Source organism: Homo sapiens, chromosome 3, assembly GCF_000001405.40.
Source record: "Homo sapiens chromosome 3, GRCh38.p14 Primary Assembly".
Classification (NCBI taxonomy): domain Eukaryota; kingdom Metazoa; phylum Chordata; class Mammalia; order Primates; family Hominidae; genus Homo; species Homo sapiens.
This window is the reverse complement of record NC_000003.12, coordinates 8,675,395-8,698,944: the sequence shown is the minus strand read 5'-3', so window position 1 is coordinate 8,698,944 and position 23,550 is coordinate 8,675,395. Positions and strand designations below refer to the sequence as shown.

The following is a 23,550-nucleotide window of genomic DNA, read 5'->3' as shown; positions in this document are numbered from 1 at the left end:
GTGTATACCCTGTGATAGTATTCACAATATACTAGCGGGATATTACCACTAATGTCACCGTGTGTGTACACCTCCTGATATTATTGGTAGTATCCTGGGAGGTTGTTACTCCTAACGTCACAGGGGTGTACACCCTGTGTTATTATTAGTACTATTCTAGGGGGATTTTACTTTTAAAAATCACAGGGGGTGTCAAGCCTGGGATCTTATTCGTAATATCCTAGGAAGGTGTTACTCGTAATGTCACATGGGGTGTACAACCTTGGATATTATTTCGAATATCCTAAAGGGATGTTATCTTAATGTCATAGGGTGTGTACACCCCTTGATATTATTCGTAATATCCTAAGGAGATATTACTTTAAAAATCACAGTGGGTGTGCACACATGGTGTACACCCTGTGATATTATTCACAATATCTGAGGGAGGTATAACTTTTAATATCACAGTGGGTGTACACACTGTGATATTATTCATCATATTGTAGAAGTATATTATTCCTATTGTCACAGGGGTTTAACATCCTGTGAAATTATTTCTAGTCATCCAGGGGGATGATTACCCTAAAGTCGCAGGGTGTGTACACCCTGTGATATTATTCGTAATATTCTAGGGGGATGTTACTCCTAATGTCGCAAAGGTGTGCATGCTGTGATATTATTCAGAATCTATTAGCTGGATATTGTTACTAATGTCACAATGCGTGTACACCTTGTGATATTATTGGTAATATCCTAAGGGGATGTTACTCCTATTGTCACAGGGGGCGTGCTTTCGGTGCTATGATTCGTAGTATCCCAGAGGGATGTTACTCCTACCATACAAATTGTGTGCACTTTGTTATATTATTCGTAATATCCTAGAGTGATGTTACTCCTCATGTCATGGGGCTGTACATCCTGTGATGTTATTCTTCACATTCTAGAAATATGTTAATTCCTAATATCACAGAAGGTGTACGATCTGTGAAGCTATTCATAATCGTTTCGGGGGATGTTACTCCCAATGTCACACGTGGTGTACAAACCGTGATATTATTCGTAAAGTTTTTTTGGATATGTTACTCCTAATATCACAGGGGCTGTGCACCCTGTCATATTATTCGTAATATCCTAAAGAAATGTTACCACTAGTGTCACAGGCGGTGTACACCTTGTGGTATTATTCCCAATATTGTAGGGTGATGTTACTCCTAATGTCACGGAAGGTGTTCACACTCTGATAATATTCGTAATACCCTAAAGTGATGTTACTAAGGATGTCACAACGCAGGTACACAAACTGCTATTGTTTCTTAGATCCTCGGGCGATGTGACTTCTAATGTCACAGGGGGTGTACATTTTGCGATATTATTTGTAATATTTTAGAAAGATGTTATTCCTAATGTCACAGAGGGTGTACACCCTGTGAAGTTATTCATGATAGTTTTGGGGTCCGCTACTCCTAATGTCTCCCGTGGTGTACAAACAGTGATATGATTCCTAATATTTTATGGAAATGTTACTCCTAATATCACAGGGGCTGTACACCTTGTAATATTATTCATAATATCCTAAGGAAATGTTACCTCTAATGTCACAGGGGGTGTACACCGTGTGATATGGTTCCCAATATTGTAGGGGGATGTTACTCCTAATATCACAGGGGGTATTCACATTGTGGTAATATTCGTAATATCCTAAATGGATGTTACTGCTAATGTCACAACACGTGTGCATCCTCTGTATTTGTTCCTTATATCCTTGGGTGAGGTTACTCCTACTGTCACACAGGGTGTACTCCCTGTGATATTATTCATAATATCCTAGGTGGATGTTACTCCTCGTGTCACAGGGGCCATGTGTCTTGTGATGTTATTCACAATATCCTAGAAAGATGTTACTCCTCAGGTCACAGGGGATGTACACCCTGTGATATTATTCGTACTATCCTAGGGGATGTTACTCCAAATGTCACAGAAGGTGTACACTCTGTGATATTACTCGTAATGTGTCAGGGAAATGTACTCCTAACGCCACAGGGCATGTGCACCATGTGTGCCCAGCCCCTGTGATGTTGTTTGTAATATTCTGGAGGGATATTAATCCTAATATTCCATATGGTGTTAACCATGTGTGAACACCTTTGTGGTATTATTCCTAACATACTAGAAGGGTGTAACTCTTAACATCACATCGGGTATACACCATGTGTGTACACATTCTGTGATATTATTCATAACATCGTAGGGAGATGCTACTCTTAATTTTACAAGGTGTGTACATTATATGTGTACTCCCCCTCTGATGTTGTTCATAATATTCTAGGGGAATGTTGCTGCTAATGTCACAGGGAGAGTACACCATGTGTATGCAACCCTGGTAATATTATTTCTAAAATCTTGGGGTGATGTTGCTCCTAATGTCACCTGGAGTGTCCACCATGTGTGTACACCTTCTGTGATATTATTCGCAAATCACAGAAGAAGATTACGCCTAATGTAACAGGGTGTGCACACCGTGTGCGTCAACCGCCTTTGGTATTATTCATAACATACTAGGGGGTTGTGACTTTTAATGTCACAAAGGGTGTACAAAATGTCACAGGGTGGGTATGCCTTATGATATTATTCCCAATATCCAGAAGGATGTTACTCCTAAGGTCACAGGGGGTGTACACCCTTCGATACTATTTGTAGTCTTATACGGAGATATTACTGTAAATCTCACAGTGGGTGTACACTATGTACACTAAATGTACACTCACTGTGATATTATTTGTAATATCTCAGAGATATTACAGAGTTATTGCTCTCTGTGTTATATTAGAGAGTTATATCTCTCTAAGACAGTACAAATAATACCACAGTGGGTATACCTCGTGTGTGTACAACCTGTGATATTATTTGTAATATCCATGTTAAACATTACATCTATTATCACAGAGAGTGTACTCCCTTTGATATGTCTCATACTATCAGAGTTAGATATTGCTTCTAATATCACAGTGGGTGTACACCTTATATCCTAGGGAGATATCTCTCCGAATATCACAGTGTGTGTACACCTTGTGATATTATTCATAATGTCTTAGAAGGATTTACTCCTAATATGGCAGAGGGTGTACACCCAGTGATATTCTTCGTAATATCCTAGGGAGATGTTACTCCTAATGTCACACGGGGTGTACACCCATGATATTATTTGTAATATTCTAGGGGGATGTTACTTGAAAAGTCACAGGGGGCGTACACCCTGTGATGTCGTTCATAACATCCTAAGAAGATGTTACCCTTAATGTCACATGGGGTGTACACCCTGTGATATTACTCGGAATATCTTATGGGGATGCTACTCCTAATGTCACAGGCTGTGTACACTCTGTGATATTATTTGGAATATCCACAGAGATGTTACCTTTGATGTCACAGACGGGGTCCATGCTTTGATATTGTTTTTCATATCTTAGGGAGATATTACTTCAAATATCACAGTGGGTGCACCCACTGTGATTGTATTCGCAATACCCTAGGGAGATATAACTTTTAATATCACAGTAGGTGTACACACTATTTATGTACACCTACTGTGATACTATACCTAATATCCTAAAAATTAATAGGACTCCTAATATCACAGTTGGTGTACACACTGCGATATTATTCATAATATTCCAGCGGGATGTCACTCCTCAGGTCACAGGGGGTTAATACCCTGGGACAGTATTCGTCATAATCCAGGGCGGTGGTACTCCTAAAGTCACAGGATGTGTACCCTCTGTGATATTATTCATCCTATTCTAGGGGGATGTTACCCCTAATGTCATAGGGATGTATACCCTGTGATATTATTCATAGTATACCAGAGGGATATTAGTACTAAAGTCACAATGCATGTACACCTTGTGATATGATTCGTAATATCCTAATGTCACAGGGGGTGTGTTCCCTGTGATATTATTCCTAAAATCCTAGAAGAACATTGCTCCTAATGTCACAGGGTGTGTACACCTTGTCACATCATTCATAATGTCCTAAAACTACGTTATTCCTCAGGTCACAGGGGGTGTTCACCCTGTGATATTATTCATCATAGTTTTCTGGGATGTTTCTCCTAATGTCACACGGGGTGTACACAGAGTCACACAGTGATATGACTTGTGATATTCTATAGAAATATTACTCATAAATCACAGGGGCTGTACCTCCTGTGATATTATTCGTAATATTCTAGGGGAATGTTACTACTATTGTCATAGGGGGTGTATACCCTGTGATATGACTCATCGTATTCCAGCGGGATGTTACTACTAATGTCACAGTGCGTGTACACCCTGTGATATTATTTGTAATATCCTGAAGAGTTGTTACTACTAAGGTCACAATGCACTTACAAACTCTGATGTTATTCGTTATATCCTTGGGGGATGTTACTCCTAATGTCACACGGCGTGTACTCCCTGTCATATTATTCATAATATCCAAGGGGGATGTTATTTTTAATGTCACCGGGGGTGTATATCATGTGTATTCAATGCCTGTGATACTATTCCTAATATTCTAGGGGCATGCTTTTCCTAATGTCACATGGGGTGTACACCATGTGTGTACACCTGCTGTGATATTATTCATAATATCCTAGGGGAATGTCACTCCTGATGACACAGGCCGTGTACACCATGTGTGTACCCCGCCCTGGTTATTATTCATATCCCCCAGGATATCTAGCGGGATGTTTCTTTTAATGTCACAAAGAGTGTACAAAATGTCACAGAAGTTGTACACCTTGTGACGTTATCTGTAATACCCTAGAAGGATGTTACTCCTAATATGTCACAGGGGTGTACACCCTTTGATATGATTTGTAATCTCATAGAGAGATATGACTTCAAATATCACAGTGGAGGTACGCACATAGTGATACCCTGTGATATTATTAATAATATCCTAGGGAGATACAACTCCTGATACAGGTGATGGTTGTGGAGCCCACAGGACTGCAACCTCACACTGCAGGGCTGGAGGCACAGACTGAGTATTTACTATTCTATGGCCCGGGGGGCTCAAGGCACAGAGCTCCTCATTAGCCAGAGTCGCCCAAGTTCCCCTTGCTCTCAGGATTTCCTCATCATCATGCAAGAAGAAGAAGAGAAAAGTGAGTGTCCATAGAAGCTCTGGGGCTCTTCCTCTCATCAGGAGAGAGCTTGTGTGTATTATTCGCTTCTTTCTTTTCTTTTACAAGATCCAAGTGCTTTAATTTTCATCTTTTATTATGGGAAGATATACCACGTATAAATATTAAAAATCACAAATATAGATTATTTCATATAGAATGGCCAGTATAAACATTTACAATTTCCACTAGTTTTCAGTTTACAGTTTAATCACATTAGGTACATTCACATTGTTTAGCAACCATCACCGCCATCATCTCCAGAACAGTTTTATCCTTGAAAATGGAAATTGCACCCATTAACCAAACTCCATTCCACTCTCTCTCGCCCACCCCTGGGGGCCACCATTCTGTTTTGCAACTCTGTAAGTTTAACTACTGTAGACACGTGATATAAGTGGAATCATACCGTGTTTAATTTTTTTGGTTTGTTTGTTATGGAGACAGAGTCTTTCTCTGTCGCCCAGGCTGGAGTGCAGTGGCATGGTCTCAGCTGACTGCAACCTCCACATCGTGGGTTCACGCGATTCTTGTGTCTCAGTCTCCCGAGTAGCTGGGATTACAGGCGTGCGCCACCACGCCCAGCTAATCGTTGTATTTTTAATAGAGACGAGCTTTCACCATATTGGCCAGGCTGGTCTCAAACTCCTGACCTTAAGTGATCCGCCTGCCTCAGCCTCCCAAAGTGCTGGGGTTACAGGTGCGATCCACTGAGCCTGGTCGTGTTTATCCTTTTGGGATTTATTTATTTCACTGATGAGAATGTCTTCAAGGTTCACCCGTGTTACAGCCTGTGTCAGAAGTGCCTGTCTGGTTGTTTGCGTGTTTTTTTTTTTTTTTTTTTGGTTTTGTTTTGTTTTGTGATTACATGGAGTCTCACTCTGTCGCACAGGCTGGAGTGCAGTGACACAATCTGGGCTCACTGCAACCTCCGCCTCCCAGGTTCCAGCAATTCTTGTGCCTCAGCCTCACCAGTAGCTGGGACTATAGGCACACACCACCACGCTCGTCTAATGTTCTGCATTTTCAGCAGAGACAGGATTTCACCAAGTCCATGGCCAGGCTGGTCTTGAATTCCTGACCTCAGGTGATCCGCCCACCTCGGTCTTCCAAGATGCTGGGATTACAGGCATGAGCCACCGCACCGGCCAGAAGTGCCTGCCTTTTTAAGGCTGAATAGTCTTCCATCGCATGAATGAACTGCAGTGTGCTTTTTCATTCATCTGTCCACGAACCCTTGGGTTGCTTCCACATGTTGGCTGTTGTGAATAATGCTGCTATGAATTTGGGTGTACAAATCTCTCTTCCACTCCTGGCTTCTAATTCTTTTTGGAGGGTACCCACAAGTGCAACTGCGGGAACATCTGGTAATCCTGTTTCTACTTTTTCCAGTACACGCCATTCTATTTTCCCTGTTCCTTCACGGTTTTACATTCCCTCCAATCAGTTTCGAGCATTCCTACTTCCCTCTAGTTTCACCAATGCTCGTTTGTTTATCACATCCATCCAAATGTGTGGTATCACATTCTTGGTTGGATTTGCGCTTCCCTATGATGAGTGATTTTGAACATCATTTTAGATGCTTATTGGCCATTGCTGTATCTTCTTTAGGGACATGTCTACTCGAGTCTTCTGACCATTGTTAATGGGATGCTTTGGGTTTCTTGTTGTTCAGTTCTAGCTGTTCTTTGTATATGATGCATATCAGCCTCTTTTCAGAGATATGATTTGCAAATCTTTTTCCTAATCCATGGGTTATCTTTTCACTCAGTTCACAGTGTTTGCTGATGTACAAAAGTGTCTGTCATTTAGATGTCATCCAAGGGATCTAATTTTCTTTTGTTGCCTATGCTTTTGGTGTCATATCCCAGAAAGCATTGCCCAATCTGATGTCATGAAAGTGTGGCCAATGTTTTCTTTTAGGCATATTATACTTTCAGCAGTTGGGGTTAGGTCTTTGATCCAGTTTGTGTTCATTTTTGCACCTGGTGTGACATAGAGTCCACCTTCATTCTTCTGCATGTGGAAATCAAGTTTCTCCAACACCATTTCTTGAAAAGGCTGCTTTTCCACCAATGGACTTTCTTAGCACTCATGTGAAAAATCATTTGAACATATAGGTGAGAAGTTATTTCTGGGCTCAAAAACAAACAACAGACAACAGATAAGGATGCAGCATGGGCCGGGCGCCGTTGCTCACGCCTGTAATCCAAGCACTTTGGGAGGCCGAGGCGGGCGGATCACCTGAGGTCAGGAGTTCAAGACCAGCCTGACAGACAGGAAGAAACCCCCATCTCTACTACAAACACAACATTAGCTGGGCATGCTGGGGCATGCCTGTAATCCCAGCTGCTTGGGAGATGGAGGCAGGAGAATCGCTTGAACCCAGGAGGCAGAGGTTGCGGTGAGCCAAGATTGCACCATTACACTCCAGCCTGGGCAACAAGAGTGAAACTCTGTCTGAAAACAAAAAACCAAAAACAAAAAATCCAGCATGATTTCGAGAGCAGAAAGAGAATAGCTGAAAAACCAGCATAATGAGAAAGTTAGGAAGCTTCTTACCAAAGCATCTGGAAATATGCCAGAAATTCTTGTGAACTAAAATTTTCATACTGTACTATCAAACACTAGAACTCACTTATTCCATCTTTCTGTATTTTGGGACCCAATTATCCACTTCTCTTCATTCCCCATCCCACCCCTTTTCTTCCTAGCGTCTGCTAACCACCTTTATACTTTCCACCTTCCTGAGATTCCTTTTGTGTGTAGGTGTGTGATGGAGTCTCTTTCTGTTGCCCAGGTTGGAGTATACAGGCAAAATCCGGGCTCACTGCAACCTCCGCCTCCCGAGTTCAAGCGCTTCTTGGGCCTCAGCCCTCCGAGTAGCTGAGACTACAGGCACGTGTCACCACACCCGGCTAATTGTTTGTGTTTTCAGTAGAGACGGGATTTCACCATGTTGGCCAGGCGGGTCTCGAACTCTGGGCCTCAAGTGATCCATGTGACTCGGCCTCCCACGGTGCTGGGATTACAGGCCTGAGCCACCAAACCTGGCCAAGATTTTCTGTTTTGTTCCTACATAGAAGTGAGGATATGAAATATTTGTCATTCTGTGCCTGGCTTATTTCATTTAATATACAGACCTGCAATCGCATCCATTTTGTCTGCAATGAAGAGGATTTTGTTTATTCCTTTTTAGGCTGAATAATACTTCATTGGGTGTGTATACCACAGTTTCTCAATTGAAACAAATTTCTAAAGAGCAAATATTTTTAAAATGTCTCAGAATGTGAAACTTCAGGGATACTGTGCCCATTTTATTCTTTTCTATTTCACATCTTATGTATATGCAAGTGTATAACAAAACAGCAATCAAAGTGTGTATAAATCTATAATTTCAACAAATGTAAAATGAAAATGCTAAGTGGTGGCTGGGCGCGGTGGCTCATGCCTGTAATCCCAGAACACTGGGAGGTGGAACCAGGCGGATCACCTGAGGTCGGGAGTTCAAGACCAGCCTGACCAATATGGAGAACCACTCTGTGTACTAAAAATACAAAAAAAAAAAAAAAAAAATTAGCCGGGCATGGTAGCGTATGCGTGTAATCCCAGCTACTTGGAAGGCTGAGACAGGATAATCTCTTGAATACGGGAGGCAGAGGTTGCAGTGAGCCGAGATCGTGCCATTGCACTCCAGCCTGGGCAACAAGAGTGAAACTCTGTCTCAAAAAGAAAAAAAAAAGAAAAAAGAAAAAAATAGAAAATGCTAAATGGTAAGAAACAACAGCATAATAAACATTTGTATGGTGTTGATGGACAATGCATTTGAAGATAATATTTGAAGAAATCATATTACAATTAACTTCTGTTCTTACTAATTGGAGCTTGATGCCTCTAAAAACTTCGTCATTGCAACCACCTCTGGTGCTTAAAAAAAAAAAAAAAAAAAATCCACATACTCACACAGGTGCAGGGAAATCAGAATCTCAGGTAATGGCACCCAGGCCTCAGCATTTGTAAGCTCCCCAGGTGATTTGACTCAAAGCCAAGATTGAGGACGGGTGACATGGATCTCTACACATAACCTGCCTAAATAGATTCTCTAGAAGCAGTTTATAAAGAAATTCCACATGAACTCTGGAAGAGGATATGAATTTGATGTACAGTATGTCCTCACTTAACATCTTTGAAAGTCTCTTGGAAACTTCACCTTGAAGCAAAATTAGGTATAGTGAAACCACTTATTCCTCACCAACATTATAACTACACAACTTTGAACGCACCAATGGTGTTGGAGGACCTGCTGTACATTGTTTCCATAAAGGCAATTTTCAGGGAATTCCAAAATGAAGTGAGGACTTCACGTATATAAAAAGATGGTTGTGATTCCACCTGGATGACAGGGTTATTGCTCAGAAACTAAAGGAGGCCACCTAGGTATAGAGGATTCAGTCATGAGGTTTCTGCTAAACAAAGGATCCCAGAATCCTCACCCATTCCAGTGAAAGGTATAACGAAGAAAACAATATTCACATAGGAAATGCAGAAAGGAATAAAAGCCATCAAGCCACAAAAATAATGTGACTAAGGGGCAGGATTTGCAGATGTAGGGATTTAATGTGGTTGCCCTTTCTCACCCACACAAGAAAAAGGATGGAACAGATCATGAGATTCGACTGTTCTGCTGAGCAGCCTCCTCAGGGTGCTTTGAATGTCCCTGTTTCTCAGGCTGTAGATGAAAGGGTTCAGCATGGGGGTGACCACAGTGTACATCACTGACACCACCACACCATTCCTGGGGGGTGGTGACACAGCTGAAGTCAGGTACACGCCAATGCCTGCTCCATAAAATAAGCAAACAAGTGCCAGGTGAGAGCCACAGGTGGAGAAGGCTTTATATTTCCCATCTGATGTTGAAATCCTTAGAATGGAGGGAACAATTTTACAGTAAGACAAAAGGATCCCTGAAATGGGAAGAAAACCAAACATAGTACTATCGAAATATATGAATATGCTATTGATGATGCTGTCAGAACAGGCAAGCTTGAGAAGTTGAGATGGCTCACAGACAAAATTAGAGATTTCCACATTCTTGAAGAAGGTGAATTGTAACACAATCTAACTGTGCAGCTGGGAATCCAACAGGCTAAGGAAAAAGGACACCAAAACTAAGAAGACACGGAGGTGAGGATTCACGATGACTGGGTAGTGTAGAGGGCGACAGATGGCTACAAAGCAGTCATAGGCCATCACAGTCAGAAGCATGTCTTCTATACATGCAAAAAGGACCAAAAAAGACATCCGTGTCAGGCAGCCCACATAAGAGATGACTCTGCTATGCGACTGCATGTCCACAATTATCTTGGGAACCGTGGCCGAGGTGAAACCGATGTCAGCCCAGCACAGGTTGGAGAGGAAGAAGTACATGGGGGTGTGGAGGTGGGAGTCAGAGCTGACAGCCAGGATGCTGAGCAGGTTCCTCAGCACCGTGACCAGACACATGGACAGGGACAGCCCAGCGAGGACGGGCTGCAGTTCTGGATCCTCTGAGAGTCCCATGAGGAGGAATTCTCAGACATCTGTGAGATTCCGTGGCTGTGACTTGGACACCCTGGGAAGAAAAGAGGATTGGAAAAATAAAAGATAAAAACCAGCCCTTAATGCTGTGTGTATATTTTGGATGCAAACAATTCACAAGGAACATTTTCACACTTGAGGACCATACACCGTCAGCAATATTTCTCAGTTGTGACAAACCCAAAAATCTCAGAATTATTACATGATTTACTTTTTTCTTTTCAACTCCTTCTGTACATACTACTTTAGAGAAAATCCACTGAAGAATGTTAGAAGACCAAAATGTCATATATAACAAATCCGTGATCTCAGTAAAATATGGCCTACTCTTTTCAGAAAAAATAAAATGCAGTGAAGATGCTCTTCTCTCTTTAAGAAAAAGATCTCAGCCTAATTGAAAGAAATTAAGAAGCAGCGAAATACACTCTATTTTATTTTGACACCGTGCTACAAATTCCTTTGATGTGGAATATGTAAAAGGATGATACAAGAGCTAGGACCGCATTATGTAAAAATGAAATTGAACCTTAGAGTTCTTAATCGGAAGACCTTTTAACATGCCAGTTACTTTTCATATTTATTATCATCCTTAGGTTTTCTGACATCATTTCTTCATAAAGTACATGCACACTCAAATATGGGAGCTGTGTTTCCAAATGAATTGAATATATAACTCTTGGCCGAGCACCATGGCTCACACCTGTAATCCCAGCACTTTGGGCGGCCGAGGCCGACGAATCACCTGAGGTCAGGAGTTCCAGACCAGCCTGGCCAACGTGGTGAAACCCCGTCTCTAGTGAAAATAAAAAAAAATTAGCCGGGCGTGGTGGCGGGGTAACCCTAGCTACTCGGGAGGCTGAAGCAGGAGAATCCCTTAGAGCCTGGAAGGCAGAGATTGGACACCCTGTGGTATTATTTTGGATATCCTAGGGAGATATTGCTCCTGACATCAGAGTGGGCGTACACCCTGTGATATTGTTTGTAATATCCTAGAAAGATGTTGCTCCTAATATCACAGTGGCTGCACACCCTGTGATATTAATTGTAATGTCCTACAGAGATATCACTCTTAATAATACAGTGGGTGTACACCCTGTGATATTTTTCATAATATATTAAGGAGATATGACTCCTGATATCACAGTGAGCGTACACCCTGTTTGTACACCCTGTGATATGATTTGTAACAACTTAGAAAAATATTACAGCTAATATCAAAGTGGGTGTACACCCTGTGATGTTCTTTGTTATCTACTCGGTAGATATTACTCCTAATATCACAGTGAGTGTACAACCTGTGATATTATTTGTAATCACCTAGGGAGATATGATTCCTAATATTACAGTGGGTGTACACTCTGCGATGTTATTTGTAATGTCGTAGGAAGATATTACTCCTAATATCAAAGTGGGTGTACACCATGTGTGTACACTCTGTGATATAATTCGTAATATCCCAGAGAGATATTTCTCCTAATATCACAGTGGGTGTACACTCTGTGATATTATTCGTACTATCCTAGAGAGATATTGCTCCCAGTATCACAGTGGGTGTACACCCTGTGATATTATTCATCATATCCTAGAGACACATTACCTCTAATATCACAGTTTCTGTACACCCTGTGGTATTATTCGTAATATCCCAGGGAGATATTATTCCTAACATCACAGTGTGTGTACATCATGGGTGGACGCCCTGTGATGTTTTTCATCATATCCTAGGGGGATATTACCCTTAATGTCACAGTGGGTGTACACCACGTGTGTACACAGTGAGATGTTACTGGCAATATCCTAGGGAGAAATTATGCCTAAAGTTACACTGGGTGTACACCGTGTGTTTATGTTCTCTGATGCTATTCATAATATCTTAGAAAGTTATTATTCCTAGTGCCACAGTGGGTGTATACCGTGTGTGTACACTCTGTGATGTTATTGGTATTATCCTAGGGAGATGGTTCTCATAACATCACTGTGGGTGTACATCATGTCTGTATTCCCTGTGGTGTTATTGGTTATGTCCTGGGTTGATATTACTCCTAATATCACCATGGGTGCACACCATGGGTGTACATTCTGTGATGTTATTCGTAATATCCTAGGGAGATATCACTCCCTGTGTCATAGTGGGTGTACGGCCTTGTGATATTATTGGTAGTATCCTTGGGACGTATTACTCCTGTTATCACAGTGGGTGTGCACCCTGTGATGGTATTTGTCATATCCTAGGGAGATATTACTGTATACCTTGTGATATTATTTGTGACATTTTAGGGAGCTATTTCTCCTAAAGTCCGAGTGGGTGTACACCCTCTAATATTCTTGCTAATATCACAGTGGGTGTACACGATGAGTGATATTTTTTCTAATATCCAGCGGGGAAGAGGATGATGTTGCTTCCAATATCACAGAAGGTGTACACCCCCCTGTGATACTGTGCTGAATATCCAGGGGAGGAGAGGATGACATTATTCCCAATATCACTGGGGGTGTACCAACTCCCGCCGGGATATTGTTCTTAATTTCTGGAGGTGGAGAGAATGATGTTACTCCCAATATTACAGGGGGTGTACACCACCCCTGTTTGTAAACACCCCCCATGATATTGTTCCAAATGGCCTGTGAAGGAGTAAATATGACTCCCAATATCGCGGGGGGTGTTCAGCCCTGAGGATATTGTTTTCTAACATCCAGGGAAGGAGAGTATGCTATTACTCCCAATATCGCAGGGGTTGTACACCCTTTTGTGTTTCTGTGCCCAATATCCAGGAAAATAGAGGATGATATTACTCCCAATATCGAAGTAATTGTACAGCACCCCTGTGATATTCTTCCTAATATCCAGAAAGGAAAAGAATGATGTCACTCCCAACAGCATAGGAAATGTATACCCGCTCTGCGATATCTTTCCCAATATCCAGGTGGGGAGAGGATCATATTACTTCCAATGTCACAGGGTGTGTACACCCCCTCTGTGATCTCGTTGCTAACATCCAGGTTTGGGGAGGATGACATTACTCCCAATGTCACAGTGGGAGTACACCCCCCACCGTGACCTTGTTAGTCATTTCCTGGGTGGAGAGGATGATATTACTCCCAATATCGCAGGGGGTGTACACACCCCTGGGAAAATCTTCCTCATATCCAGAGGGAGAGAGGATGATATTACTCCCAGTACCGCAGGGGGTTTACACAGCCCTGTGATACTCTTCCTAATATCCACAGGGAGAGAGGATGATATCACTCCCAATATCGCAGGGGGTGTACACAACCCTGTGATATTGTTCCTAATATCCAGAGCGAAAGAGGATGATATGACTCTCAATATCGCAGAGGGTGTACACCCCTCCTGTCCTATTGTTCTGAATACCCTGGGAGGGAGAGGATAAGCTTATGTTGAATATCGCAGGGAATGTACACCCTCCCCCTCTGATACCCTTCCTAATGTCCAGGGGAAGAGAGGAAAATTTTACTCCCAATATCGCAGAGGCAGTACACCCCACCTGTGATGTTGTTCCCAATATGCAAGGGGGGGAGAGGATGATACTACTCCCAATATCGCAGGGCTGTTCACATCCCCAGTGACATTTTTCCTAATATCTAGGGGAGAGACAGTTCTATGACAGCAAAGGTCTCAGGGTCTGTACATCCCTTCCTGATATTGTTCCTAATATCCAGGGGGGGAAGAGGATGATACCAAATATGAAAGGGGGTGTACACCCCCCACCCCTATGATATTGTTCTTAATATTCGTGAGGGGAGATGATGATATTACTCCAAATATCGCAGGAGTTGCTGACACTTCCCTGTGATATTGTTTCTGATATCCGGGGGGGAGAAAATCATATTACTTCCAATATTGCAGGTGGTGTATACCCCACCTGAAATATGGCACCGAATATCCAAAGAGGGAGAGGATGGTATTAATACCAATATCGAAGTGTGTGTACATGCCCCTTGTGATATGGTTTTTAATATCCAGTGGGCGGGAGGATATTAGTCCCCACATCCTAGAGGGTGTACACTACCCCTGTGATATTGTCCCTAACTTCCAGAGGGGAGAGGATGACATCACTCCCAATATCTCAGAAGTTGTACATCCCCCGTGATATTGTTCATCATATCCAGGGAGGCACAGGATGACATTCCATTGAATTTCGCGACAGGCGTACACGTACAGTGTGATATTGTTCCTAATATCCAAGAAGGGAGAGGATGATATTACTCCCAATAAAACAGTGGGTGTACATTGACCCTGTGTTATTGTCTCTAATATCCGGGGCCGGGGGAGGTGGGGAGAGGATAACATTCCCTCAAATTTAGCAGGTAGTTTGATGCCCCTTGTGGTGTTGTTTTAAATATCCAGCGGGGAAGACAATAGTACTATTTTTGAAAGTCCGATTCATCCATTCCACCTTTCCGGAACTCTGAGGCCGGGAGGTGGCAGGCAGTTTCCGTGTGATCCCCAATACCTTTGCCGTCTTCTGTACCAAGGCCGCCAAAAACGCAGGTCCGTTATCTCAGCCGATCCGTAAGGGCAGTCGAAATCTAGGAATCAGATTTCGAAGAAGCACAGGGGTTATCACGAGCTTTCTCAGTTCGTGTTGGATAGGCCTCCACCCACCCAGAGTAGGTACACCCAAGAACTAGTAAATACTTGTTACCTCCCCACTTTGGCATCCCTGTGAAGTCTACCTGGAGATCTTCAAAGGGGGCTGCTCCATAAGCTTGTATGCCGGGCGGAACGGCTGCACCTTGCCTCGCATCATGCTGTCGGCAGGTAACACACCGCTGCCTCACCGTTTTGGCAAGGGCTGACAAATGTGAGATGTAGAAACACTGGCCTAACAACTTTTCCAGTGACTCCTGACCTCGATGGGTGGTTTCTTGTCCAACTACAGCTCCTAGCAACTGTGGCGCAGCTACTCTCCCATCTGGTAACCGAATCCATCCTTCCTCCATCACTTGTCCTTCCCTCTACCTGGAGAAAGTCCTTTTCTTCTTTAGAAGAAGTAGGTCCAAGATCAGGTGCTTGAGGGAGCACTGATGCCCGAAAGGGGGCAGATGCTGCTTTTCGAGCCTCTGAGTCAGCGCGGGAATTCCCCAAACCCAGCAAGGTGGAAGCTCGCTGGTGTCCTCTGCAATGCATAACTGCCACCTTGTGGGGTTTCCACTCTGCTTCTAATCATTGCGAGATTTCTTGTTGATATTTTCTGTCTTTTCCCCCAGAGTTAAATAGGCCTTTTTCTTTCTATCACGCTCCATGCACTTGAAGGGTTAAAAAGACATACCGGGAATCAGTGTAAATGTTGACAGTCTCACCCTCACTGAGTTCTAACGCCCCAAATGAAAGCAATGAGTTCAGCTTTATGGGCTGCGGTGGCCTGGGGCAACGACCTGGTTTCAACAACAGTGTCCAGGGTTACCCCTGCACACCCTGCACCTCTCTCTCCTTGGGGGTTGAAGAAGCTGCTCCCATCCACGTATAGTTCCCAGTCTACTGATGCCCAAGGCTGGTCCCGGAGGTCAGGTCTGCTAGAGTCAATTGAGTCCAACACTTCTACACAATCAGGCTCGACAGGGCTCTCTGATACCGGGAGCAAGGTGGCGGGGTGTAGGGTGTTACAAACTTCAATGGTTATATGGGGATTTTCACAGAGCAAAGTTTGGTACTGGGTGAGTGTGGCATTCGTTAGCCAATGGTGTCCTTTAGTATTCATTAAAGTCACCACAGCACAGGGGGCCTTTATGTTCAGGTTTTGCCCAAGAGTCAGCTTATTTGCTTCTTGTACTAGCAGGGCAGTTGCTGCCAAGGCCCTCAAACAGGGGGGCCATCCTTTAGAAACCCTGTCTAGTTGTTTAGAGACGTAGGCCACCGGCCTCAGCCAGGGCCCCACAGTTTGGGTTAAAAGTCCAGCTGCCATCTTTTCTCTCTCTGACGCATACAATGGAAAAGGCTTTGTCAGATCGGGTAGCCCCAGGGCTGGGGCTGCCAGAAGTTTTTACTTTAACTCATGAAAGACTTGCTGTTGTTGGGATCCCCCTTGCAAAGGTTCCCGGTCCCCGCCCCCTTTGTGATCTCATAGAAAGGCTTGGCTAATACTGCAAAGTTTGGAATCCACAGTCCACAAAACCCCACAGCTCCTAAGAATTCTCTCACCTGCCTTCTGCCCTTAGGCTCTGCTAGATTGCAAATGACCTGCTTTCTTTCTGATCCTGGGCTGCGTTCCCACCCCTGTCAGATAGTAAATCCCAAGTAAGGTACCTGCTTTCGGCAGCTCTGAGCTTTCTTCTTGGACACCTAAAACCCACAGTCCTCCAGGTGGGTCCTAAGGATCTTAGGATCTGCGATGGGGTTCCTAAGCCAGGGGGGGAAGAGGGGCTGGCTCTCAGTCCCCACCCTGCGGTGGGTGCCTCCCCACCCTGTGCTGGGCGTCCTAAGAGCCAGAGGGGGAAGAGGGGCTCGCTCTCACTCCCCGCCTCCCAGGGGGTGCCTCCCCCCGCTGCGATGGGGGTCCTAAGAGCCGGGGGGAAGAGGGGCTGACTTTCAGTCCCCATCGCACGGGGGGTGCCTCACCCTCCTGCGATGGGGGTCCCAAGAGCCGGGGGAAAAGAGTGGCTGGCTCTCAGTCCCCGCTTCGTTGGGGGTGCCTCCCGCCCCCCATGGGGGTCCGAAGAGCCAGGGGGGAAGACGGACTGGCTCTCAGTCCCCGCCTCGTGGGGGCTGCCTCCCCCCTACGACGGGGGTCCTAAGAGCCAGTGGGGGAAGAGGGGCTGGCTCTCAGTCCCGGGCTCGCCGGGGGTGCCTCCCCATCCTGCGATGGGTGTCCTCAGAGCCAGGGGAAAAAAGGGGCTGGCTCTCAGTCCCCGAGCCGCGGGGGGTGCCTCCACCCCCGCGATGGTGGTCCAAAGATCCAGGGAGGGAAGAGGGGCTGGCTGTCAGTCCCTGCCTCACGGGGTTCCTCCCACCCTGCGATGGGGGTCCTGAGAGCCAGGGGGGGAAGAGGGGCTGGCTCTCATTCCCCGCCTTGCATGGGGTGACTCCCCCCCCTGCTATGGAAGTCCTAAGAGGCAGGGGGGGAAGAGGGGCTGGCTCTCAGAACCCGCCTCGCGGGGGTGCCTCTCCCCCCTGCTATGGAAGTCCTAAGAGCCAGCGGGGGAAGAGGGGGTGGCTCTCAGTCCCCGCCACTTGGAGGTTGCCTCCCCCACTGCGATGGGGGTCCTAAGAGCCAGGGAGGGAAGAGGGGGAGAGGATGATAATAATTCCAGCATCACAGGCAGTGTTCACCCAGCCTGTCAAATTGTTATTAATATCCTGAAAGGGAGAGGATGATATTACTCCCCATAATAGACAGATACGGCTCCCCATAATAGAGAACGAGGTGTACACCCACCCTGCAATATTCTTTCCAATATTCAGAGGCCGAGAGGTTGATATTACTCCAAATATCGCAGTAAGTATACACCCCTGTGTGAGATGCTCCTTCATAATATACCAAGGCGGAGGGGGTGATATGACTTCATGTATGGCAGAAAGTGGAAACCCCCAGGGATGTTGTACCCACGATCCTGGAGGGAAGAAGATGATATTACTTTCAATATGACAGAAGGTGGACACGCCCTCACTGATATTGTTTCTAATTTCAGCGTGGGAGAGGAGGATATAACACACGATATCGCAGGGAGTAGAAACACCCCTGTGATACTGTTCTTAATATTCAGGGAGGAAGAGGATGATATTACTCCCAGTACAGACAGGTGTATACCCTCTGTACACCGAGGGTGTACACCCATCTGTGAAACAGTTCATAATCTCCAGAGAGCGAGAGGATATGACTCACAATATGGTAAACAGTCTGTGAGTCCACCTTGGATCCTAAGAGCCAGAGAGGGAAGAGGGGCTGGCTTTCAGTCACCACAGCATGGGGGGCCTTTATGTTCAGGTTTTGCCCAGGAGTCAGCTTCTTTGCTTCTTGTACTAGCAGGGCAGTTGCTGCCAAGGCCCTCAAACGGGGGGCCATCCTTTAGAAACCCTGTCTAGTTGTTTAGAGACGTAGGCCACCGGCCTCGGCCAGGGTCCCACAGTTTGGGTTAAAAGTCCAGCTGCCATCTTTTCTCTCTCTGATGCATACAACGGAAAAGGCTTTGTCAGATCGGGTAGCCCCAGGGCTGGGGCTGCTGGAAGTTTTTCCCTTAACTCATGAAAGACTTGCTGTTGTTGGGATCCCCCTTGCAAAGGTTCCCGGTCCCCGCCCCCTTTGTGACCTCATACAAAGGCTTGGCTAATACTGCAAAGTTTGGGATCCACAGTCTACAAAACCCCACAGCTCTTAAGAATTCTCTCACCTGCCTTCTTCCCTTAGGCTCCGATAGATTGCAAATGACCTGCTTTCTTTCTGATCCTGGGCTGCGTTCAGACCCCTGTGGGATAGTAAATCCCAAGTAAGGTACTTGCCTTCCGCAGATCTGAGCTTTCTTCTTAGACACCTAATACCCACAGTCCTCCAGGTGGGTCCTAAGGATCTTAGAATCCGCGATGGGGGTCCTAAGCCAGGGGGGGAAGAGGCACTGGCTCTCATTCCCCGCCTCACCGGGGGTGCCTCCACCCCCTTCGATGGGGGTCCCAAGAGCCAGGGGGGGAAGAGAGGCTGGCTCTCAGTTCCTGCCTCGCTGAGGGTGCCTCCCCTACCTGCGATGAGGGTCCCAAAGCCAGGGGGGGAATAGGGGCTGGTTCTCAGTCCCCGCCTCCCGGGGGGTGCCTCCCCCCGCTGTGATGGGGGTCCTAAGAGCCAGGGGGGGAAGAGGGGCTGGCTCTCAGTCCCCTCCTCCTGGGGGATGCCTCCCGCCAATGCGATGGGGGTCGGAAGAGCAAGGGGCGGGAAGAGGGGCTGGCTCTTAGTCCCCGCCTCATGGGGGGTGGCTCCCCCCCTCCGATGGGGGTCCTAAAAGCCAGGGGGAAAATTGGCTGGCTCTCAGTCCCCGCTCACGGAGGGTGCCATCCCCCCTGCGATGGGGGTCCCAAGAGCCAGTGTGGGGGAACAGCGGCTGCCTCTCAGTCCCCGCCTCGCGGGGGTGCCTCCCCCCCGCAATTTGGGTCCTAAGAGCCAGGGGGGAAAGAGGTGCTTGCTCTCAGTCCCCGCCTCGCGGGGGGTGCTTCCTCCCCTGCGTTTGGTGTCCTAAGAGCCAGGGGGGGAAGAGGGGCTGGCTCTCAGTCCCCACCTCGCGGGGGGTGACTCTCCGCCCTGCGATGGGCGTCCCAAGAGCCAGGAGGGGAAGAGTGGCTGGCTCTCAGTCCCCGCCTGGCGGGGGGTGCCTCCCTCCCTTGCAATGGGGATCCTAAGAGCCAGGCTGGGGGAAGAGGGATTGGTTCTCAGTCCCCGCCTCGTGGGGAGTGCCGCCTCCTCTCCCTGCGATGGGGTCCTAAGTGGCAGGGAGGGAAGAGGGGCTGGCTCTCTTTCCCCGCCTCGCGTGTGGTGCCTCCCCCCCCCACGTTGGGGGTCCTAAGACCCAGGAGGGGAAGAGTGGCTGGCTCTCAATCCCCGCCTCGCGGGGGGTGCCTCCCCCCACTGCGATGGGGGTCCCAAAAGCCGGGGGGGAAGAAGGGCTGGCTCTCAGTCCCTGCCTCGCGGGGGGTGTTCCCCCCTCTGTGATTGGGGTCCTAAGAGCCATGGAGGGAAGAGGGGCTGGCTCTCAGTCCCCGCCTCGCGGGGGGTGCCTCACCCCCTTGCAATGGGGGTCCTAAGAGCCAGGGGGGGATAGAGGCGGAGAGGATAATAATTCCAGCATCGCAGGCTGTTCACCCAGCCTGTGAATTTGTTATTAATATCCTGAAAGGGAGAGGATGATATTACTCCCCATAATAGACAGATATGACTCCCCATAATAGAGCACGAGGTGTACACCCACCCTGTGATATTCTTCCCAATATTCAAAGGCCGAGAGGTTGATATTACTCCAAATATCACCGTAAGTATACACCCCGGTGTGAGATGCTCCTTCATAATATTCCAAGGCGGAGGGGGTGATATGACTTCATGTATGGCAGAAAGTGGAAACCCCCAGGGATGTTGTTCCCACGATCCTGGAGGGAAGAAGATGATATTACTTTCAATATGACAGAAGGTGGACACGCCCTCACTGATATTGTTTCTAATTGCAACGTGGGAGAGGAGGATATGACACGCGATATCGCAGGGAGTAGAAAAACCCCTGTTATACTGTTCTTAATATTCAGGGAGGAAGAGGATGATATTACTCCCAGTACAGACGGGTGTACATCCGTCTGTGAAACAGTTCATAATCTCCAGAGGGGGAGATGATATTACTCACAATATGGTAAACAGGCTGTGAGTCCACCGCAGATCCTGAGAGCTGGTGGTGGAGTGGGTGTGTGGGGCTGGCTCTCAGTCACCACAGCATGGGGGGCCTTTATGTTCAGGTTTTGCCCAAGAGTCAGCTTATTTGCTTCTTGTACTAGCAGGGCAGTTGCTGCCAAGGCCCTAAAACAGGGGGGCAATCCTTTAGAAACCCTGTCTAGTTGTTTAGAGACGTAGGCCACCGGCCTCAGCCAGGGCCCCACAGTTTGGGTTAAAAGTCCAGCTGCCATCTTTTCTCTCTCTGATGCATACAATGGAAAAGGCTGTGTCAGATCGGGTAGCCCCAGGGCTGGGGCTGCCAGAAGTTTTTCCTTTAACTCATGAAAGACTTGCTGTTGTTGGGATCCCCATTCCAAAGGTTCCTGGTCCCCGCCCCCTTTGTGACCTCATAGAAAGGCTTGGCTAATACTGCAAAGTTTGGGATCCACAGTCTAGAAAACCCCACAGCTCCTAAGAATTCTCTCACCTGCCTTCTGCCCTTAGGCTCCGATAGATTGCAAATGACCTGCTTTCTTTCTGATCCCGGGCTGCTGAGTTCGGACCCCTGTTGGATAGTAAATCCCAAGTAAGGTACCTGCCTTCGGCAGCTCTGAGATTTCTTCTTGGACACCTAATACCCACAGTCCTCCAGGTGGGTCCAAAGGATCTTAGGATCCGCGATGGGCGTCCTGAGCAAGGGGGGGAAGAGGGGCTGGCTCTCAGTCCCTGCCTCGCGGGGGGTATCTCTCCCCGCTGCGATGGGGGTCCTAAGAGCCACAGGGGGAAGAGGGGCTGGCTCGCAGTCCCCGCCTCCTGGGGGGTTCCTCCCCCCACCGCGATGGAGGTCTCAAGAGCCAGGGGGGGAAGAGGTACTGGCTCTCAGTCCCCGCCTCACAGGGGGATGCCTTCCCCCCGTACTATGGGGGTCCTAAGAGCCAGGGGGGAAAGAGGGGCTGGCTCTCTGTCCCCGCCTCACGGGGGATGCCTCCTCCCCTGCGATGGGGGTCCTAAGGGCCAGGTGGGGAAGAGGGGCTGGCTCTCAGTCCCCGCCTCACTGGGGGTGCCTCCCCCCACTGCGATGAGGTCCTGAGATCCAGGTGGGAAGAGGGGGAGAGAATGATAGTAATTCCAGCATCGCAGGCTGTGTTCACCCAGCCTGTGAAATTGTTATTAATATCCTGAAAGGGAGAGGATGATATTACTCCCCATAATAGGCAGATATGACTCCCCATAATAGAGCACGATGTGTACACCCACGCTGTGATATTCTTCCTAATATTCAGAGGCCGAGAGGTTGATATTACTCCCAATATGGCAGTAAGTATTCACCCCCGTGTGAGATGGTCCTTAATAATATTCCAAGGCAGAGGGGGTGATATGACTACATGTATGGCAGAAAGTGGAAACCCCCCAGGGATATTTTTCCCACGATCCTGGAGGGAAGAAGATGATATTACTTTCAATATGACAGAAGGTGGACTCGCCCCCACTGATATTGTTTCTAATTGCAACGTGGGAGAGGAGGATATGACACGCGATATCGCAGGGAGTAGAAACACCCTTGTGATACTGTTCTTAATATTCAGGGAGGAAGAGGATGATATTACTCCCAGTACAGACGGGTGTACACCCTCTGTACACCGAGTGTGTACACCCGTCTGTGAAACAGTTCATAATCTCCAGAGGGGGAGATGATATTACTCACAATATGGTAAACAGGCTGTGAGTCCACCGTGGATCCTAAGAGCCAGGCGGGGAAGAGGGGCTGGCTCTCAGTCACCACAGCATGGGGGGCCTTTATGTTCAGGTTTTGCCCAAGAGTCAGCTTATTTGCTTCTCGTACTAGCAGGGCAGTTGCTGCCAAGGCCCTCAAACGGGGGGCCATCCTTTAGAAACCCCGTCTAGTTGTTTAGAGAGGTAGGCCACTGGCCTCAGCTAGGGCCCCACAGTTTGGGTTAAAAGTCCAGCTGCCATCTTTTCTCTCTGTGACGCATACAATGGAAAAGGCTTTGTCAGATCCGGTAGCCCCAGGGCTGGGGCTGCCAGAAGTTTTTCCTTTAACTGATGAAAGACTTGCTGTTGTTGGGATCCCCATTCCAAAGGTTCCCGGTCCCAGCCCCCTTTGTGACCTCATGCAAAGGCTTGGCTAGTACTGCAAAGTTTGGGATCCACAGTCTACAAAACCCCACAGCTCCTAAGAAGTCTCTCGCCTGACTTCTGCTCTTAGACTCCGCTAGATTGCAAATGACCTGCTTCTTTCTGATCCTGGGCTGCGTTCCGACCCCTGTGGGATAGTAAATCACAAGTAAGGTACCTGCTGTCGGCAGATCTGAGCTTTCTTCTTGGACGCCTTATACCCACAGTCCTCCAGGTGCTGGTGTAGGGCATCTGTTCCCTTGGGACACCCGACTGCAATGGGGTGTCCCAGCAGAAGGTCATCAACCTACTGGAGCAACACGCAGC

At 46.9% G+C, this 23,550-nt stretch overlaps 1 protein-coding gene and 1 pseudogene across 22 annotated transcripts in view; one reads left to right on the top strand and one right to left on the bottom strand.

Annotated features, from left to right (window-relative positions):
- OR7E122P (olfactory receptor family 7 subfamily E member 122 pseudogene) lies at positions 9,791-10,711 on the bottom strand (annotated as a pseudogene).
- Positions 17,018-23,550, top strand: part of SSUH2 (ssu-2 homolog) — a 62,542-nt gene continuing 56,009 nt past the window's right edge. For 18 of the 22 annotated variants that reach the window (XM_017006528.2, XM_017006523.2, XM_017006513.2 and 15 more), the window contains exons 1-2: positions 19,077-19,240; positions 21,592-21,739. The gene's annotated coding sequence lies outside the window, so the exon portion shown is untranslated. Of the gene's footprint in view, positions 17,055-19,076; positions 19,241-20,501; positions 20,699-21,591; positions 21,740-23,550 lie in introns of those variants that run through there. The other 4 variants (XM_047448236.1, XM_047448234.1, XM_047448237.1 and 1 more) reach the window with 4 other exon arrangements.